Genomic DNA, 16,868 nt, shown 5'->3' with positions numbered 1-16,868 from the left:
TTTAGTAAAGTCTCAGGTTACAAAATCAATGTACATAAATCAGTAGCACTGCTATGCACCAATGACCAAGCTGAGAATCAAATCAAGAACCCAATCCCCCTTACAATAGATTAAAAAAAAAAAAAAAACCCACCAAAACCTAGGAATATTCTTAACCAAGGAGGTGAAAGATCTCTAAAGGAACAACTATGAAACACTGCAGAAAGAAATCATAGATGGCACAAACAAATGGAAATACATCCCATGCTCACAGATTAGAAAAATCAATACTGTGAAAATGACCACACTGCCCAAAGTAATCTAAAAGTTCAGTGCAATTCCTATCAAAATACCAACATCACTTTTCACAGAATTAGAAAAAACGATCCTAAAATTTATATGAAACCAAAAAGGAACACAAATAGCCAAAGCAATCCTAAGTAAAAAGAACAAATCTGGAAGCATCACATTACACAACTTCAAATTATACTATACGATTATAGTAACCAAAACAGCATGGTACTGGTATAAAAGTAGATATATAGACCAATAGAACAGAATAGAGACCCCAGAAATAAAGCCAAATACTTACAGCCAACTGATCTTTGACAAAGCACACAAAATCATGATTGGGGAAAGGACACCCTATTCAATAAACGGTGCTGAGAAAATTGGATAGTCACATGTACAAGAATGAAACTGGATCCCTATCTCTCATCACATATAAAAATTAACTCAACATGGATTAAATACTTATGTCTAGGACCTGAAACCATAAAAATTCTAGAAGGAAACCTAGGAAAAACTCTTCTGGACATTGGCCTGGGCAAAGAATTTATGACTAAGACCCTAAAAGCAAATTCAACTAAAATGAAAATAAATAAATTGTACCTAATTAAACTAAAAAGCTTCTGCACAGCAAAAGAAACAATCATCAGAATAAACAGACAACCTACAGAATGGGAGAAAATATTTGTAAATTATGCATTCAACAAAGGACTAATATCCAGAATCTATAAGGAGCTCAGACAAATCAGTCCTGCCACTCACTTTGCAACTCATTGAATCTTAGTTCCCTCTTCTTTAAAATGAAGATAATCATAATACTACCTGTGCCAAGATTCAGTGGGAAAACCTGACTTTAGAGCTCAATAAAAATTAGTTGTTTTATTTTCTCTCCTCAAGTGTATTAGAAGCTCCTTTAAGGTCAATAATTAAATTTATCTCTATATCTAGCATGCTCAGTGCAATTGCTCTATAAATATTTGTTAAATTTAGTTGTTATAAAATTCTTAGAACTGGAGTGCAGAAGCCATCTGCAGCATGCTATGAAAATCTAAAATAAAATAATGTAATAAAAAACAATTCCTTTGAGAAACTTCATACCCTGATTATTTTATTTGCAACAGATGCATAAAACTAAAACTCAAATCTGCATAAATCAAGTAGTTCAGACTTGCTGTAAGCATTTAAAAATATATTTTTAAAATACATGCTATTTTCTAGCAAAGACATGTAATCAACCTAGGTGCTTATTAACAGTGGATTGGATAAAGAAAATGTGGTACATCTACACCACAGAATTCTACACAGCCCTAAAAAAAAAAAAATCATGTCCTTTGCAGCAATGTGGATGCAGCTGGAGGCCATTATCCTAAGCAAATTAATGCAGAAAAAGAAAATCAAATATCACATGTTCTTATTTGTAAGTTGGAGCTAAACCCTGGGTCTTCATAGACATAAAGATGAAAACAGTAGAGACTTGGAACCTAAAAAGGAGGGAAGAAGGGAGGAGAGCAAGGGCTGAAAAACATCCTAATGGGCACTCTGGGTGATAGGATCAATAGAAGCCCAAACCTCAGCATTATGCAATATAAAGCCTAGAAAAGCTCCAAGGAGCTGACAGAAGACTGGTGTGGATGGATCATGAAGGAATAAGGGGAGAAGTGGCCTGAGGCTATAGAGGTAAGCAGAAGACAGATTATTGAGGACCTTTGGAATAGAACCTGAGAACAGTGGGAAGCCCTTGCAGGCCTTACCCATGGATATGATATGGTCCTATGTAGATTTTACAAATACTTTGGCTGTTACGAAGGGAGTTAATTAGAAGAAGACCAGAGTAAATGTGGAGAAACTAGTTAAAGTAGCCCAAGTAAGAGAAAATGGATGGTGGATATAGTGGTTTGGACAGTTATTGTCATTGTTGAGAAGACGCTGGATTCAAATTGGATATAGAGAGTAAGGGAAAAGGGGATGCTAGCAATAACCTCTCCCCTTCCTCCAGGTTTCTGACGCAAAGTAAATAGTGGTGTTATGTACTTAGATATGCATGCTGAATGAGAAGCCAATGTGGGGGCAGGATTAAGAGTTCTGTCTGGGCAGTTCTCAAATATGAGATGCATAGAGCCACCCAAGTGGCAATTTCTGCAACATAATTTTTATAATTATTTGTCTTAAACAGTAACAAAGATGATGGAGAATAAGGAAAACTTGACTATAGTAGAGTAAGAAGGTTTGCCTTTGCCACATGATGCAATGGTAACAAGGATAAACCCAGCCTGCATGACTACTTTGGTTGTAATGCATAGCATTCGAGTAAAACAAAAAGAACAGGCCAGATGCAGTGGCTGACTCCTGTAATCTCAGCATTTTGGGAGCCTGAAGCAGGATGAACACTTGAAAGAGGATTGCCAGAATGTCAAGACCAGCCTGGGCTACACAGGCAGACTCTATCTCTGAAAAAAAAAAAAAAAAAAAAAAAAAAGGCCAGGTGTGGTAGTATGTAGTCCCAGCTACTCTGGAGGCCAAGATGGGAGGATCACTTAAGCTCAACAGTTGGAGGCTGCAGAGAGCAATGACTGCACCATTGCAATACAGCCCGGGTGACCAAGCAAGACCCTGGCTGAGAAAAAAAAAAAAAAAAAAAAAGAAAGAAAAAGCTAGTTCGTACATAAGAACACTGCAGTATGACTTGTTGCCAATTAGAAGAAACACAACTACAAGGTCAGGGCATATTATTCAAACAGTAGAGACAATACAGTCAAATATTTGGCAGAATTACAAAATATCTCATTGGAAAAGACACGCAAGGGAAATCAACAAAAAGATATGAATCAGAATTCATCTGTGTCTCAAGAAAAGGTCATGCGATAAATTAAGTTCTGCTAGTGTTTCTACACTACCGTTAGCCTCATTACCTTATTTTTTAAGTGTTAATATAGTTTTAGGTATTTTACATACATTTTTATTATTAATTACAACCAAAGTGCAACTTGTAATAGCAATTCCTTCACATTTTTTTTTTCAAATCTTGCACCTTAAAATCCACCTCGGGCCTCAGTTGGCCAGCTTTGGTATCTGATACTTGGACTACAGATACCACTAAGGCAAGTAGATAAAATGTACTCTAGGACCTACAGCCCTTCTGCTAGATCCTGAAGAATGATCATTAAAACAAGCTGGTCTAGCTGGTCAAGAGCAAAAATAAAATCAAGATGACAGAAAATTGATGCAAAAGTGAAGTAAAATAGCTAGAGAATATGATTGCGCCTGTCCCCTTAGCATGGATTCCCATGCTAGCCAATCTAAAATCCTCACTGTTAGAATCCTCCTGTCAATATGATAGAATGAACAGCAAGCTCAGTGTCAGAAAACCTGTGTTGTTAACTTGGCCCTCTTTCTAGCTGAATGTGTGTTTTTGGTCAAGTTCTTTGGCATTTCAGAGACTCAGAGTAGTGAAGGAAGTGGATAAGATGACCTCTACATTCTCTTGCAAGCTCAAACATCTATGAATCCAGAGAGAAAAACTAGAGCATGAAATTAAGGTTATTTTAAAGAAATAACCTTAAAATTATTAGTATTCGAGGATCTCCAATATATTCATGGCACCACTCAAAACTTTCCTTCTGCTCTATCCCGTCTTGGCTCAAAGTTATCTCCTTAATGAGGTCTGCCCTGACTATCCTACTTAAAATTGTAAACTTTGCCCACCTGGTACTTCCACTCTCTTTCCCCTGCTCTGTTTTTCACCGTAATACTTTACTCTTTTTAACATACAAAATCACTTATTTACTGTGTTGTTATCTATCTGCCTACTCTTACCATCAAATATAAGTTCTACCTAGGCAGGGATTTTTGTATGTTTTGCTCATGGATATATACGAAGCACTTAGAGTAATATGTGACATATACAGGGTACTTGATTAATACTGTTGAGTGAATGAATGAGTTTCCAATACAAATTTAAAATAAAATATTTCCTAACTTAAAATTGTAAAGTCAGATCTAACCAACTGTTCATTGGTCTGCTAGCAGTGTTTCTTGTATATGGAAATATATTTTAAATAGATATGTCCTGTGAAATAATACTAAGTGTTCTAAAGAAATAAGTGAGTGAACGTTACCTCATTGAACTAACTTGACCTTGCTCCTGGGAGAGAGTTCATTTGAGATTAAACAAGTTCAAAGTCTATGAATCATAAAACGATAAAAAAAACTAAAAGGGAAATGGTGTTTTTATAAGCTCTGCAATTCAAAAGCCATTTCGGGTAATATTGTTATTTTTATGTCAGGAATTCCTCAGTGCTGATATCTTAGGGCAAAGGGTTTGGTTATAAATTAAGAGAATGAGGAAATAGGTACATAGTAGGATTGTTCCAACCAAATATGTGTTGAATGTCAAAGGAATTTCCCTGAGGAATAATCTTCAGAATAATTTGCTAAGCACAGGAGAAAATTTGGCTTATTACTTTATAGCCAGATTTCATTTTTAATTGAAACTTCTTTCAAGCAAATCACTTACTAGTCTATTAACAATAACAACATAAACACAAGTAAACATTCGGAATATAGACATCCAGGTACTAAGCTGATTGCTTTACACTCACTGTCTTATTTTACAAGTAAGGAGTTTTAGTTGCAGCAAAAGAAATAAATTTTCCAATGTCAAATGACCAGAACTTAAACCCAATCTGTTTGGTGCTAAAGCCAATGTTCTTTACTGCAATGTTGGGTTATCTTGTTTCTAAAACTTAAATTTATCAGTAAAAGGCAAAATTTGCTATTATTGAGGACATTAAAATCATATTTTTGTAGACTCTGAGGACAAATCCAACAAAAAAGTTCCAACTATTTCTTGGCAGGCATCATTGAAATTGGTATATAGCTTCCTTGGGTATTGACTTTGAAAAGGAAGTTGGTCACTTTAGATATATAAGTTCAGTCTGTTTGTAAAAACAAAATGAAAACAAAACAGTTGCCTTATATGCTAAAATTATCCTAATCGTTTTCACCTTTAACAACATATACACACAGAACTTGAGGAACTTTACACGGCTCATCTTCATATTGTCAGCATCTAGCAAAGTACTTGCCACATAGTGATCAATAAAAGTTTTAGCCAGCCTGGGCAACATAGTGACAGCCTATCTCTACAAAAAAAAATTAGCCAGGCAAGGTGGCGCACACCTTTGGTCCCAGCTACTTGAGAGGAGGATGTGGGGAGATCCTTTGAATGCAGGAGGTTGAGGCTGCAGTGAGCTGTGATTGCGCCACTGTGCTTCAACCTTGGTGACAGAGCAAGACCCTGTCTCACACACACACAAATTAAGTAAAGAAAAAAAAAAGAATCAAAGAAAAAAATAATTCCCCAGCTTAAGTCCATCTTTATTTGTTTGGATAAGCTATAAAGTGTCAAATAATGCTGTTAATGGACATTTCTCTAGCTCTCCCAAAGGAGGAATTGAGCACATAGTATGTGCTGTATTTTATATACAGAATAAAAATAGAGACAAGATTTCTACCCTCACAGAACTTAAATTCTTCAGGAGAATGACACTGAAGTCCTTAATTGGACTTCTCTCTTCTGTATTATCTTCCTCAAGTGGAGGTATATGGTGCTTAGTTATGAAAAATACCTCCAGGGCTTTGATCTTCTCAATAACTCTTTGAGGCTGATATGAAAACAGTAATTAGAAAAAAACCATGTATCCAACTTATATAGACAGTTGATGACCAAAGCTAGAATCCAGTTATTTCAGCCTCCCATGTATTTTCTTATTACTTAAGGAGAATCTCTATCTCTACCTCTTTCTCTCTTCTTCCTCTCTCACTTTTCTTAGAAACATGGGTAAGATTTTCAGAAATATGAGAAACTTATTAATAAATGAAAAATACTGGGAATTCTCAATGTTTCTTGTTTTAGCCAGTTAATTTTGGCCTTCATTCAATGTGAGTGTCCCTTAATAAGGAGCAAACTCCACTGAGAGATAGATACTAATAACCAGGATTCTGAAAATGCATTCTCATCCCCATCTCCAAACTTTTATAAAAAATATTATAAAATAATACACTTTTAATATAGGAAATTTCTCAAATACAGAAAAAATTAAAGTAAACTCAGACCTAACTTTCATCACTAAAAGATAATCACTCTTGACACTTTGATATCTTTATCTCTAATATTACACCAATTAATTTGCTTGATATAGTGAATATTATGCTATTATAATTTTCCCCTGCCTTTTGTCCTTGCATATTAGCATAGGTATTTTCTGAGGTTATCACAAACTCTGTAAGCACGTTTTATATTACTACTTTTTTAAAGAGGATGTATAATAATTAATTCATCCATATATATGTGGTTAAGTATTCAGGTCACTGCTCATTTTTCACTGTTATAAAATAAAGCAGCAATGAATACCTTTGGCTGATATTTTTTTCTGTACTTGGAATTATTTCTTTAAGATAGATTTCCTAAAATTGAATTACTGAGTCAAACAGACTTAAGTTTTCCTTATGTATGTTTCCTTATTCATTTGAATAATTTTCAACTCCTACTTGTTTATTTAACTCTTGTGAGCATGTGATAGTCTCATTTTTCAAAATATCTTTGCTGTTGTAATTTGCATTTCTTTGTAGTTAGCATGAATATTTCAGTATGTTTTCTTCTGTGTACCAGTATACTACATACTTTTTTATATGAATTGCCTATTTGCATCTTTTGCTCGGTTCTATTAGACCTTTGAATTTTTTCTTATCCATTTATATAAGCTCTTTATATATTAAGAATATTAACCTATTGTGATATTTGCAATAAATAGCTATATGGTTTGTTGTTGGTTTTAAATGTGAATTTATTCAATTTTCTTCATAATTTTGTTGTTTTTATAGATTTCTTTAAAAGTAATAAAATTATTGCCATATTATTATTTATTTTCAATGTCCATTACTAGCCCTTTCCAGTCATCACTTTTACTCTCATGTTCTTAATTTTTATTCATATCTTGGCTCCATTGACCATCTTTATTAGGATATTTGGGAAATAATACAATTTATACTAAACACACATCAAATCTTACCTTATTTTCTTCTTACAAAAACCCTAGGAATATGCTGTTTTTGTCTTTATTTGAATGACACAGAAATCAAGGTTTTTGAGCAGTGGAGTATTTCTTCAAATGACACAGAAATCAAGTCTTTTGAGCAGTGGAGTATTTCTTCAAAGCCACACAGCTAGTAAGTCATGAAGCTGGAATTCCAAGAGTTGCCACTTCATTTTCTTCTTTCCCTTTATCTTACTCAGTTGTCTTCTCTCCTCTTAATTTTGTCATTCATTTAAAAACATTTCTTGTGCTATTATGGTAGATTTATTTTAATAGGGGGCAGTGACTTACTCAGAGAGATGATTCTCTAATGGAGTTTTAAAGATCTTAGAAGTTGATAGAGGAGGCTGGGCGTGGTGGCTCATGCCTATAATCCCAGCACTTTGGGAGGCTGAGGTGGGTGGATCACTTGAGGCCAGAAGTTCAAGATCAGCCTAGTCAATGTGGTGAAACCCCATTTCTACTAAAATTACAAAAATTAGCCTGGTGTGCTGGTGCACTCCCATAATCCCAGCTACTCAGGAGGCTGAGGCATGAGAATTGCTGGAACCCAGGAGGCGGAGGTTGCAGTGCGCCTGGATTATTAACACTACACTCCAGCCTGGGAGACAGAGTAATACTCCATCTCAATAAAAAGAAGTTGATAAGGGAGATAGTTCATGGCAACGGATCTTTGAAGGCACGCTAATGATAACTTAGGCATTTAGCCTACTAGTGTAATTTCCATAAATCTGCCTCTGATGTCATACTCTCAGCACCTAATATTTTCTACAAACATTTATTGAAACTTTATTTTGTATAAGTCTCTGTCCAGTTTGAATATTTAAAAAATTCATAATCATATGAAACATTAATAATAAATACAAAATGAGAGATGCCGATACTGAAAAGTAGGATTGCGGAGTGGTAGAAAATATTTCTGGCTGTAGTAGATGGGGAAGTGTTCAAAGAGGAGTATAATTCAGGTTTCCATTTGCCATCGACTTATCACATGGCTAACTCACTAAGCGACTTAATTAAAATTAAATTAATTTATCATCATCTGATCACCATTTCACACAACTCATGTCTGTTGCTGTATTGGCTAAATGATGGCAAGACAAACGACCTCTGAAAATGATCCTATTGACCTTCGGAATCTGGATTTTTTTTTCAATGCAGGTGTCCATAGAAGCAATCTGATGTAATCCAACATGAGTTCAAGCACAGTCATTTAATATCCCCTATCAAGTACAGTCATTTAATATCCCCTATCATCACATGTCCTTCATACATAAAAATCATTACATGTGAAAGGGTGGAGAGTGTGTGGATCCCTTATTATTGTGTTATTGTAACACAATAACAATATTGTGTTATTATTGTTAACACAAGTGAGTCATATGTCTTGCTCTTTGGACTGAGTGGAAACTTGTATTCTTTCTCTGCCTCAGGTCAATTAACTTCATTGAGGTGAGTTGCATTCCTTCTTTAAGCATGTTGAACCTTCAATCTGGACTCAGATGGGCTAAATAGAGGAGCTAGGAAAAATACAGAAAATAAATTATTAGAGAGATCAGAGAAAGATACATAAGATTTACAATAAAAGAATTATGAGAAAAACATCCAAAAGAATTAAAAACCATAGGAGAAGGAAAAATAGGTGAACAGCTTTTTAATTTCTATAAATGTGTTGTTAATACTCATAATAAAGGACTCAGAGCTGGGATATGAGAATAATAGGTCAAACGTATATGGATACATAGATGTGACTACATACATGAGTTGCAAAGAATGCTAAGGAGGGCAAAAAGAGATTGAGAAGAGGGCATTATTACTAATATATAGCAATGTTGAATGTTTAGGGTGTTTCAGGCACTGTACAAATCTTTTAAATACACAAATCACTTAATCTTGCCATAACATTAGAAGATACTATCTACTCTTTACCAAAAAGGTAACTGTGGGATAGCAGAGTTAAGTAACCCGTTCAAACCTATGCATAATAATCAGCAGAGATGGTCCTTATCTAAGTTTTTCTGCCTTTGAAGTCCAAATAGTTTAATGCAGCCAGGTACTAAAGAAGAAAACTTTTGTAAATTAGTTTAGTTTAATGATTTACATGTGGAAAAGCACAGAGTGAAAAGCACATATCATCTGAGAAGCCCAGTGAGTTTGGCTGAAATGGAGTGAACATGTACATGTTGAGGGTGAGGAAGATGATTAGAGAGAAGTGATGTGTTGTGGTTCTTAAAAGCTAAGAGGAAACTGTTAGATATGATATAGTCTGTGGCAGGGAGCCATTGCAGGTTTTCCAAGATGGACTCATAAGGAGAAAACACTTCGTGGGACTGGAAAAGGCAGTGAAGTGGTGTGTCCTATGATAATGTACTACAGTGTAGGATAGTGGTTAAGAGTACAGTTATGAGAGAGGGACTACTGGTTAGCACCTTACCTGCTGTGTGACTGGGCAAATAATGCAAACCTCAGTGTCTTTTATTGTAATATGGGAGTAACAAAAATAGTAACTACTTCATAGGATTCTTGTAAAGATTAAATGACTTAATTTCTTTGAAGTGCTTGGCAGTTCCTGATAAATGACCAGTAGTTAATAAATGTTAGTTGTTATTATTATCATTATATATTATTACTCCCATAGATACATATAGAACAGACTGCAGCAGAGAGGCAAATCTTTAATGTTGTCAGAGTATAGACAAGTTGGTGAAATGGCTACATGAGAGCGGAGGACAAGAAGGTGCAGATTGTGGCAGTCACTTCAAATGGAAATATCACCGCTTGAATGAAGGTATATGAGTGTCAACTTGCAAGGGGACCAGGTAGGTTTCATCAGAAATTAAGGAAGCTTAAGGAGAACAGCCAAGTTCAGCTTGACAGAAGTGGTGGTGGCACAAATGCAAGACTGGTGTCTTTCAAGAAACCAAGGACTGTTGAAAGTAGCAAGAGCTAGTTTGTTTTAGGTCCATCATGTTTTATATTCACACTTTCATGTCAGTGGAGCAAAGAAATGGAATACAATATAATAGAATGGTAGAATCTTATTTTTAAAATCTGTGTTATTCTGATCTTTAACTTACTTATATCTTTGATAGAGATCTTTACCTGATGCTCAAGATTGTAGAAATAGTATAATCAACATAACAGTATAGCACTGTATTTATATCCTGCACTGTTTAGGGAGGGTTTAAGGCCATTCAAAAGGATACATAAAATACAACAAGATTACATAAATGAAAGGTGAGATAAAGCAACAAAGCAAAACAAAAGTGAAAACAGAGATCATAGGCACAAATAAGATTAAAAACGCATGTAATGAAGATGAAAGCTTTTACATTTACCCCAGATGGACCACAGGGTTGTTGTTAAGCCTTTAAACAGTGAACAATGCTGTACACTTGCATATGCAATTAGAACATGTGGAAAAAATAGTGGCCTGTTAGAAGCCTAATTAACAATTTGTGAAAAAAAAAAAAAAAAAAAAAAAAAGAGGCCGAGCTGTAGCTCACGCCTGTAATCCCTGCACTTTGGGAGGCCGAGGCGGGCGGATCACGAGGTCAGGAGATCAAGACCATCCTGGCTAACACAGTGAAACCCAGTCTCTACGAAAAATACAAAAAATTAGCCGGGCGTGGTGGCGGGAGCCTGTAGTCCCAGCTACCTGGGAGGCTGAGGCAGGAGAATGGTGTGAACCCGGGAGGCGGAGCTTGCAGTGAGCCGAGATCCTGCCACTGCACTCCAGCCTGGGCGACAAAGCAAGACTCCGTCTCAAAAAAGAAAAAAGAAAGAAAAACAAAAGAAAACTTCATTGTATTGTAAGGCCAAGAACAAAATATATCAAGATAAGGAAAATTTGTAGTCAAGAATAGAAAAAAATTATGGCTTTGAAGTATGAGTTATTTAAAGAAAGTGGAAACATCCTCAGACTATGCAGTAAAAAACAAAGTGATTTTCTTCTTCTAAACTTATGCAATAAACTGATAGGTAATATGTGAAAGTCATAGAATGTAGACTAGAGGATACAACAAACCTATTTCCTCTATGTTCATAAGAAGTAAGAAAAGCTCTGATGTGAGTTAGCATTGCTTTACAATTTTGAATTGTGCAGATTGCACGTACTTTTCCTCAGTTTGAAGTAAATAGTGGACAGGAAAAAATATTAAATGTTGGCAGTAAATATGGAAGGAAATTACAACTAATGTAATATGCTAAAACATGCTATGTTTATTTTACTAATTTGAATTAAAATGTAAGAATTTAAAATGCCCTGGAAAAACACGGGCATTGATCTGACGTCTGAAGTTTTAAAATATTACACACTTTGAAATAGCATTTGTACCTTGAAATACCTGTCTCTATATATTTTTTAAAACTTCCTTTTTCTTTCATTCCATTTATCATCAAATAAAGGATGAACAGATGTAACTCAGAAACTGTCAAGCATGCTGAAGAAAGACCACTGCAGAAAAATTTCTCCTAGCCTTTTCAAAGGTGTTAGGAAGCAGAAAGGTGATACAGAATTGGAGAGGTCGGAGTTTTTGTATTAACTGTATTAAATGCGAATCCCGAGAAAATTTCCCTTAACTACGTCCTGTAGTTATATGGATATGAAGACTTATGTGAACTTTGAAAGACGTGTCTACATAAGTTGAAATGTCCCCAATGATTCAGCTGATGCGCGTTTCTCTACTTGCCCTTTCTAGAGAGGTGCAACGGAAGCCAGAACATTCCTCCTGGAAATTCAACCTGTTTCGCAGTTTCTCGAGGAATCAGCATTCAGTCAATCCGGGCCGGGAGCAGTCATCTGTGGTGAGGCTGATTGGCTGGGCAGGAACAGCGCCGGGGCGTGGGCTGAGCACAGCCGCTTCGCTCTCTTTGCCACAGGAAGCCTGAGCTCATTCGAGTAGCGGCTCTTCCAAGCTCAAAGAAGCAGAGGCCGCTGTTCGTTTCCTTTAGGTCTTTCCACTAAAGTCGGAGTATCTTCTTCCAAAATTTCACGTCTTGGTGGCCGTTCCAAGGAGCGCGAGGTAGGGGCACGCAAAGCTGGGAGCTACTATGGGACAGTTCCCAAGTGTCAGGCTTTCAGATTTCCTGAACTTGGTCTTCACGGGAGAAGGGCTTCTTGAGGCGTGGATAGTGTGAAGTCCTCTGGCAAGTCCATGGGGACCAAGTGGGGTTAGATCTAGACTCAGGAGCTCCTGGAGCAGCGCCCAAACCGTAGTGGCACTGGACCATGTTGCCCGGAGCGCGCACAGCCCGCGCGGTGCGGGGACCTGCTCTCTGAGCCCGCGGGCGGTGGGTGGGAGGAAGCATCGTCCGCGGCGACTGGAACCGGGAGGGAGAATCGCACTGGCGGCGGGCAAAGTCCAGAACGCGCTGCCAGACCCCCAACTCTGCCTTCGTGGAGATGCTGGAGACCCCGCGCACAGGAAAGCCCCTGCAGTGCCCATCGCGGCCAGAGCAGCTGGGGCATCAACGGCGGGCGCTCCCTCTTACTGCTCTCTGGCTTCGACGGGGGACTAGAGGTTAGTCTCACCTCCAGCGCGCCTGAGGCTCATGCATTTGGCTAATGAGCTGCGGTTTCTCTTCAGGTCGGAATGGATCTTGAAGGGGACCGCAATGGAGGAGCAAAGAAGAAGAACTTTTTTAAACTGAACAATAAAAGGTAACTAGCTTGTTTCATTTTCATAGTTTACATAGTTGCGAGATTTGAGTAATTTATTTCTAGCCTCCAGCTCTGAAATAAATGACATGTTGTTGTTTTTAATTATTTTTAAGAAACGCAAGCTAGCCTTTGGAATCAATATCCCTGCTTAGAGCAGAAGTTTGTTGGCTGAGTGGAGCACAGCATATGCATTTTCCCTGTCTTTTTTGTTCTTTCTTTTAATGATACATAATATTTTACATATTTATGAAATGGGGTACATGGAAGCGTTTTTTACATGCCCGGAATGTGTAATGATCAAGTCCGGGTATTTGAAGGATACATCACCTTAGGTATATTTCATTTCTATGTGTTGATAACATTTTAAGTCTTCTAGCTACTTTGAAATATACAATATATTGCTAACTGTAGTCACCCTCGTCTGCTATCGAACATTGGAACTTATTTGTCCTATCCAACCGTTCTTAGTCATTCACCAACCTCTTTTCATTTCACCTTTTTACCCTTCCCGGCCTCTTTCCCTTAGTCTTGGTGTGCCTCTTTCTCAGCTTTCCTGCCCCAGACAGGCGGATGCTCATATGTGTTTCTGTCTTATGAACTTCTGCTTTTCAAGTGGTGTTGGTCGCCCACACGTGAGCCATATGCTGCTGGTGATCTGCTCTGTGGTCCAGGCTCTTGCTTCCGGTAAATGGCTATGTAAACATCGCGTTTGTGGCCTGGCTGATGAGACAGAAGGTCAAAAGTACATTTAGGTTGTTAACTGGCAATAAATATCTGTATATAATATTGGTAATGTAATCATATAGGGAAAATAATTATTTAAAGTAAATTTTGATCATGGTGCTCTGCCTTTATAGAATATTTAAAACTTCACTAAATAGATTCATTGTTAGTAGTAAATTGTAAAATAGACTAGTAAGTTTAATAATATTAGAAACTGTAATGTAAATTATAAGATAAATTAGTAAACACATTAATATTATAAGAAACCAAGCTTTTCAGTGTAAGAGAAAAAATACAAATGTGGAAATCAAATACATTTTTAAAAATAATGTTAAGTTTGAATTAGAAATTTCAATATGAATTCATAATCTTTTAATAGTTCATTTTCAGTCCACTGAAAGGGACAGTAACAATGAGCACTGTTAGTACCAGATCTGGGTTTCTAAATACCATTCCTCCCTAAAAGAAATGAACCCCTCAGTAGCTAATTTCAGCCAGGTCTGGGACAGGAAAAATAGAAAGTGAGCCTGGAGTATCTTGTGGTACCTGAAAATAAGGAAGTGGAGTTTAATGGAGTAGTCGAAAGCACACTGAAGCTGTCTGGAAGATGCTTCCAATGGCCAACTCTGGGACAATTTGAGCATCAAAGAACATCGTAACTGTAACTGATTTTGAGATACTGAATGCTACTGCTGAATGCTTAATATTCTGAGAGAAGGGAAACTGAAAGAAAGTGTGAGAGGTAGAGAAAATAAAGCAATGATCTTTAGAGAAAAATTCCAGCTATCATTTTGGAACTTCCATTGTTATAATAGATTCAGGCAAGGATTGTCAATGAACTCTAAACTATCAGAAAAATGTTGTATCTAAGAATTTTCTTCAGAATGTTTACTAATTGGAAGGAGAATATGCTTCTCCAATTAAAGATTTTGCAGTTAGCACCTTAACCGAGTGATCAGACCTGGTATCTCTCACGGTAGAATGGACTGTAGTAAATGACTCATCACTTGGATTTTGAGTAAACAACATCACCTAGCAAATATTAATATATCTGCAAAAACATTTAGTCTGTATACAATTAAACTTGTAGACTGGGGCTGTCCAATGGATATATCATGTGAGCCACATTTGTAATTTAAAATTTTCTAGTAGCAACAGTAAAAAATGAAAATAAAAAGATAAAGTAATTTTGTAAATATATTTTATAGAACTCAATATGTCCAAAAGATTGGATTTTCTACATGTAATCAAAATGATTAATAAGATAGTTTACATTCTCTTTTATGCTAAATCTCCTGTTTGATGTGTATTTTACATTTATTGCACCTCCCATTTGTATTCAGTTTGATACAGGTATACCCAAGATGTGGGACATTCTGTAAGACAGCTGTTCTTGTTCCTTTACAAAAGTCAATGTTAAAAAAATAAAAGGAGGACTTCTAGATTAATAGAGACTAAAGAGATATAACTACCAAACGTAGTGTGTGAACATTACAAAACAAAACAAAAACAATCTAAAAGTTCAACAAGGAAAAAATCCTATGGAAAACATTCTTGGGAGATTTGAATGTGCATTAGATATTAGCCAATATCAGAATTGTAATCACTTTTCTTAGATGTGATAATGGTAGGAGAACATGTAATTGCAATTGAAAATTTTTGTAACAAAAATGTTCATATAAACCATGAAAAAGACTCCATAGAGTGGAGGGTAGGTATTCCACTTTTTGTTTTTAACTTTGTATTTTTGAAAACTTGATAGCTTAAAGAATTATGTACTTATGATACAAACATTTAGGTAGATTTAACTAAGAAATATTGAGGGTATGTGAAGAGAAACAGTAAAGAAAATTGTATGATCTTTCACATATTTCTATTATTGGTTCTATCATGGCCTATAGACTTTTTTTTTCAAATTAGAGATTATATTTTAAAGTAGTTCTTATTAAATTGTGTTCATTGCCATTGATTTAAATCTATTTTAACATGGGATTGTAAAGAAGCATATGGCTTTGGTAATAGATAATGCTGGGATAATAGTCCTATTTGGAATATGACTATTAGCAAAGATTCTTTATTAAAATGATGTTTGATGAATGACTTGTCTTTCTAAGCACTGTTTTTTGTGCTAATGGGGATAAGTAAGTTATCTAGTAGGGGTGAGAGTTTGTGTGAAAGTGCATTTTAATGTGATGCGATGCAGTATCTCAGAAATCTGAGGTTGCACCTTATAGTTTGGTGGTCAGGGAACAGACTTGGCATTTAAATATTGGCTTAGTTATAGCTGTGAACCTTGGACAAGTTAACTCTTCTCACTCTTCTACGTCTCTAAAAGAACAAAAATGTGTCTTCCTCATAGAATTGTTTATGAATTGTGTGTGGGAAGTGCTTACTTAGCCAGTGCCTGGAACATTATAACTTCTCCAGAGTAGCAGCTGTTTTAGAGAACAAAAAAATAAATAAAAGGCTTAGAGCTAAAACTCAACTATTTATGGCTATTTTTCTCCTTTCATCCTGGTTCCAGGGATACTGAAACCATGCCTTTACTGGGAATTGGGTGGGACCAAACCTGAAGAGTTGTGTTTGTGTATTTTATGTCTGTCTAACATTACTCCAAAGCCAAATGGGTAAACTCTGGATTTTTTTCTTTAGAAGTCTCCTCACCTCTTTTGACCTCACTTAGTGTAAAGAACAAAGACAAAGATGAATTTACCTTATGAACTTAAAAACCGTGTAAAAAATAACACAAATCTTTTCTAAAATAGTTTTTCTTTTATACCTACAAAAATACAGATGAGGCAGATTTGTTACGGTTGGTTTGCTTTCACATCCTAGGTAGCAGTTACACAGAGTAGAAAATGGGCTACAGAGTTAGATTCATTTGTATCTGGGCTCAAAATAATAGTTGACCTTATGCCTGAGGAGAACTTTTTGACAATTTATAGAACATCATTTCTGACCATAGCTTTCTAGCGTGCATTTATTTCATAATGGTCCATTTAGGACTCCAGACATTTTTTTCACAATTAGATTTGCTTATAAGGAGTAATTTAATTTTCTTCTGAGGCTAGTTATGCCCAGCATCTAATTGCCACTTCTCTTCACTAGAAAGGGAAGGATTA

The 16,868-nt window shown here is 36.1% G+C and overlaps 1 protein-coding gene across 4 annotated transcripts in view, besides 2 other annotated features; it reads left to right on the top strand.

The window, feature by feature from the left end:
* ABCB1 (ATP binding cassette subfamily B member 1) overlaps positions 1 to 16,868 on the top strand; it is a 210,279-nt gene that overhangs the window by 100,156 nt on the left and 93,255 nt on the right. The window contains exons 3-6 of one of the 4 annotated variants that reach the window (NM_001348945.2): positions 10,000 to 10,180; positions 12,062 to 12,167; positions 12,315 to 12,385; positions 12,950 to 13,023. In NM_001348945.2, coding sequence (NP_001335874.1) covers positions 10,154 to 10,180; positions 12,062 to 12,167; positions 12,315 to 12,385; positions 12,950 to 13,023 — 278 coding nt within the window. In that variant the 5' untranslated portion in view covers positions 10,000 to 10,153. Of the gene's footprint in view, positions 1 to 9,999; positions 10,181 to 12,061; positions 12,386 to 12,949; positions 13,024 to 16,868 lie in introns of those variants that run through there. The other 3 variants (NM_001348944.2, NM_000927.5, NM_001348946.2) reach the window with 3 other exon arrangements.
* Positions 12,954 to 14,153: an enhancer, noted in NCBI's record as "BRD4-independent group 4 enhancer chr7:87228303-87229502 (GRCh37/hg19 assembly coordinates)". NCBI's record gives its function as "activates an origin of replication core promoter dependent on BRD2, P300/CBP, MED14 and CDK7 cofactors, and independent of BRD4, by STARR-seq in HCT116 cells {active_cell/tissue: HCT116}" and the evidence as "EXISTENCE:reporter gene assay evidence [ECO:0000049][PMID:35650434]".
* Positions 13,355 to 13,744: an enhancer, noted in NCBI's record as "active region_26233". NCBI's record gives its function as "activates an Ori minimal core promoter by ATAC-STARR-seq in GM12878 lymphoblastoid cells {active_cell/tissue: GM12878}" and the evidence as "EXISTENCE:reporter gene assay evidence [ECO:0000049][PMID:35858748]".

Source organism: Homo sapiens, chromosome 7, assembly GCF_000001405.40.
Source record: "Homo sapiens chromosome 7, GRCh38.p14 Primary Assembly".
Lineage (NCBI taxonomy): Eukaryota > Metazoa > Chordata > Mammalia > Primates > Hominidae > Homo > Homo sapiens.
This window is presented reverse-complemented; position numbering and strand designations above follow the sequence as displayed.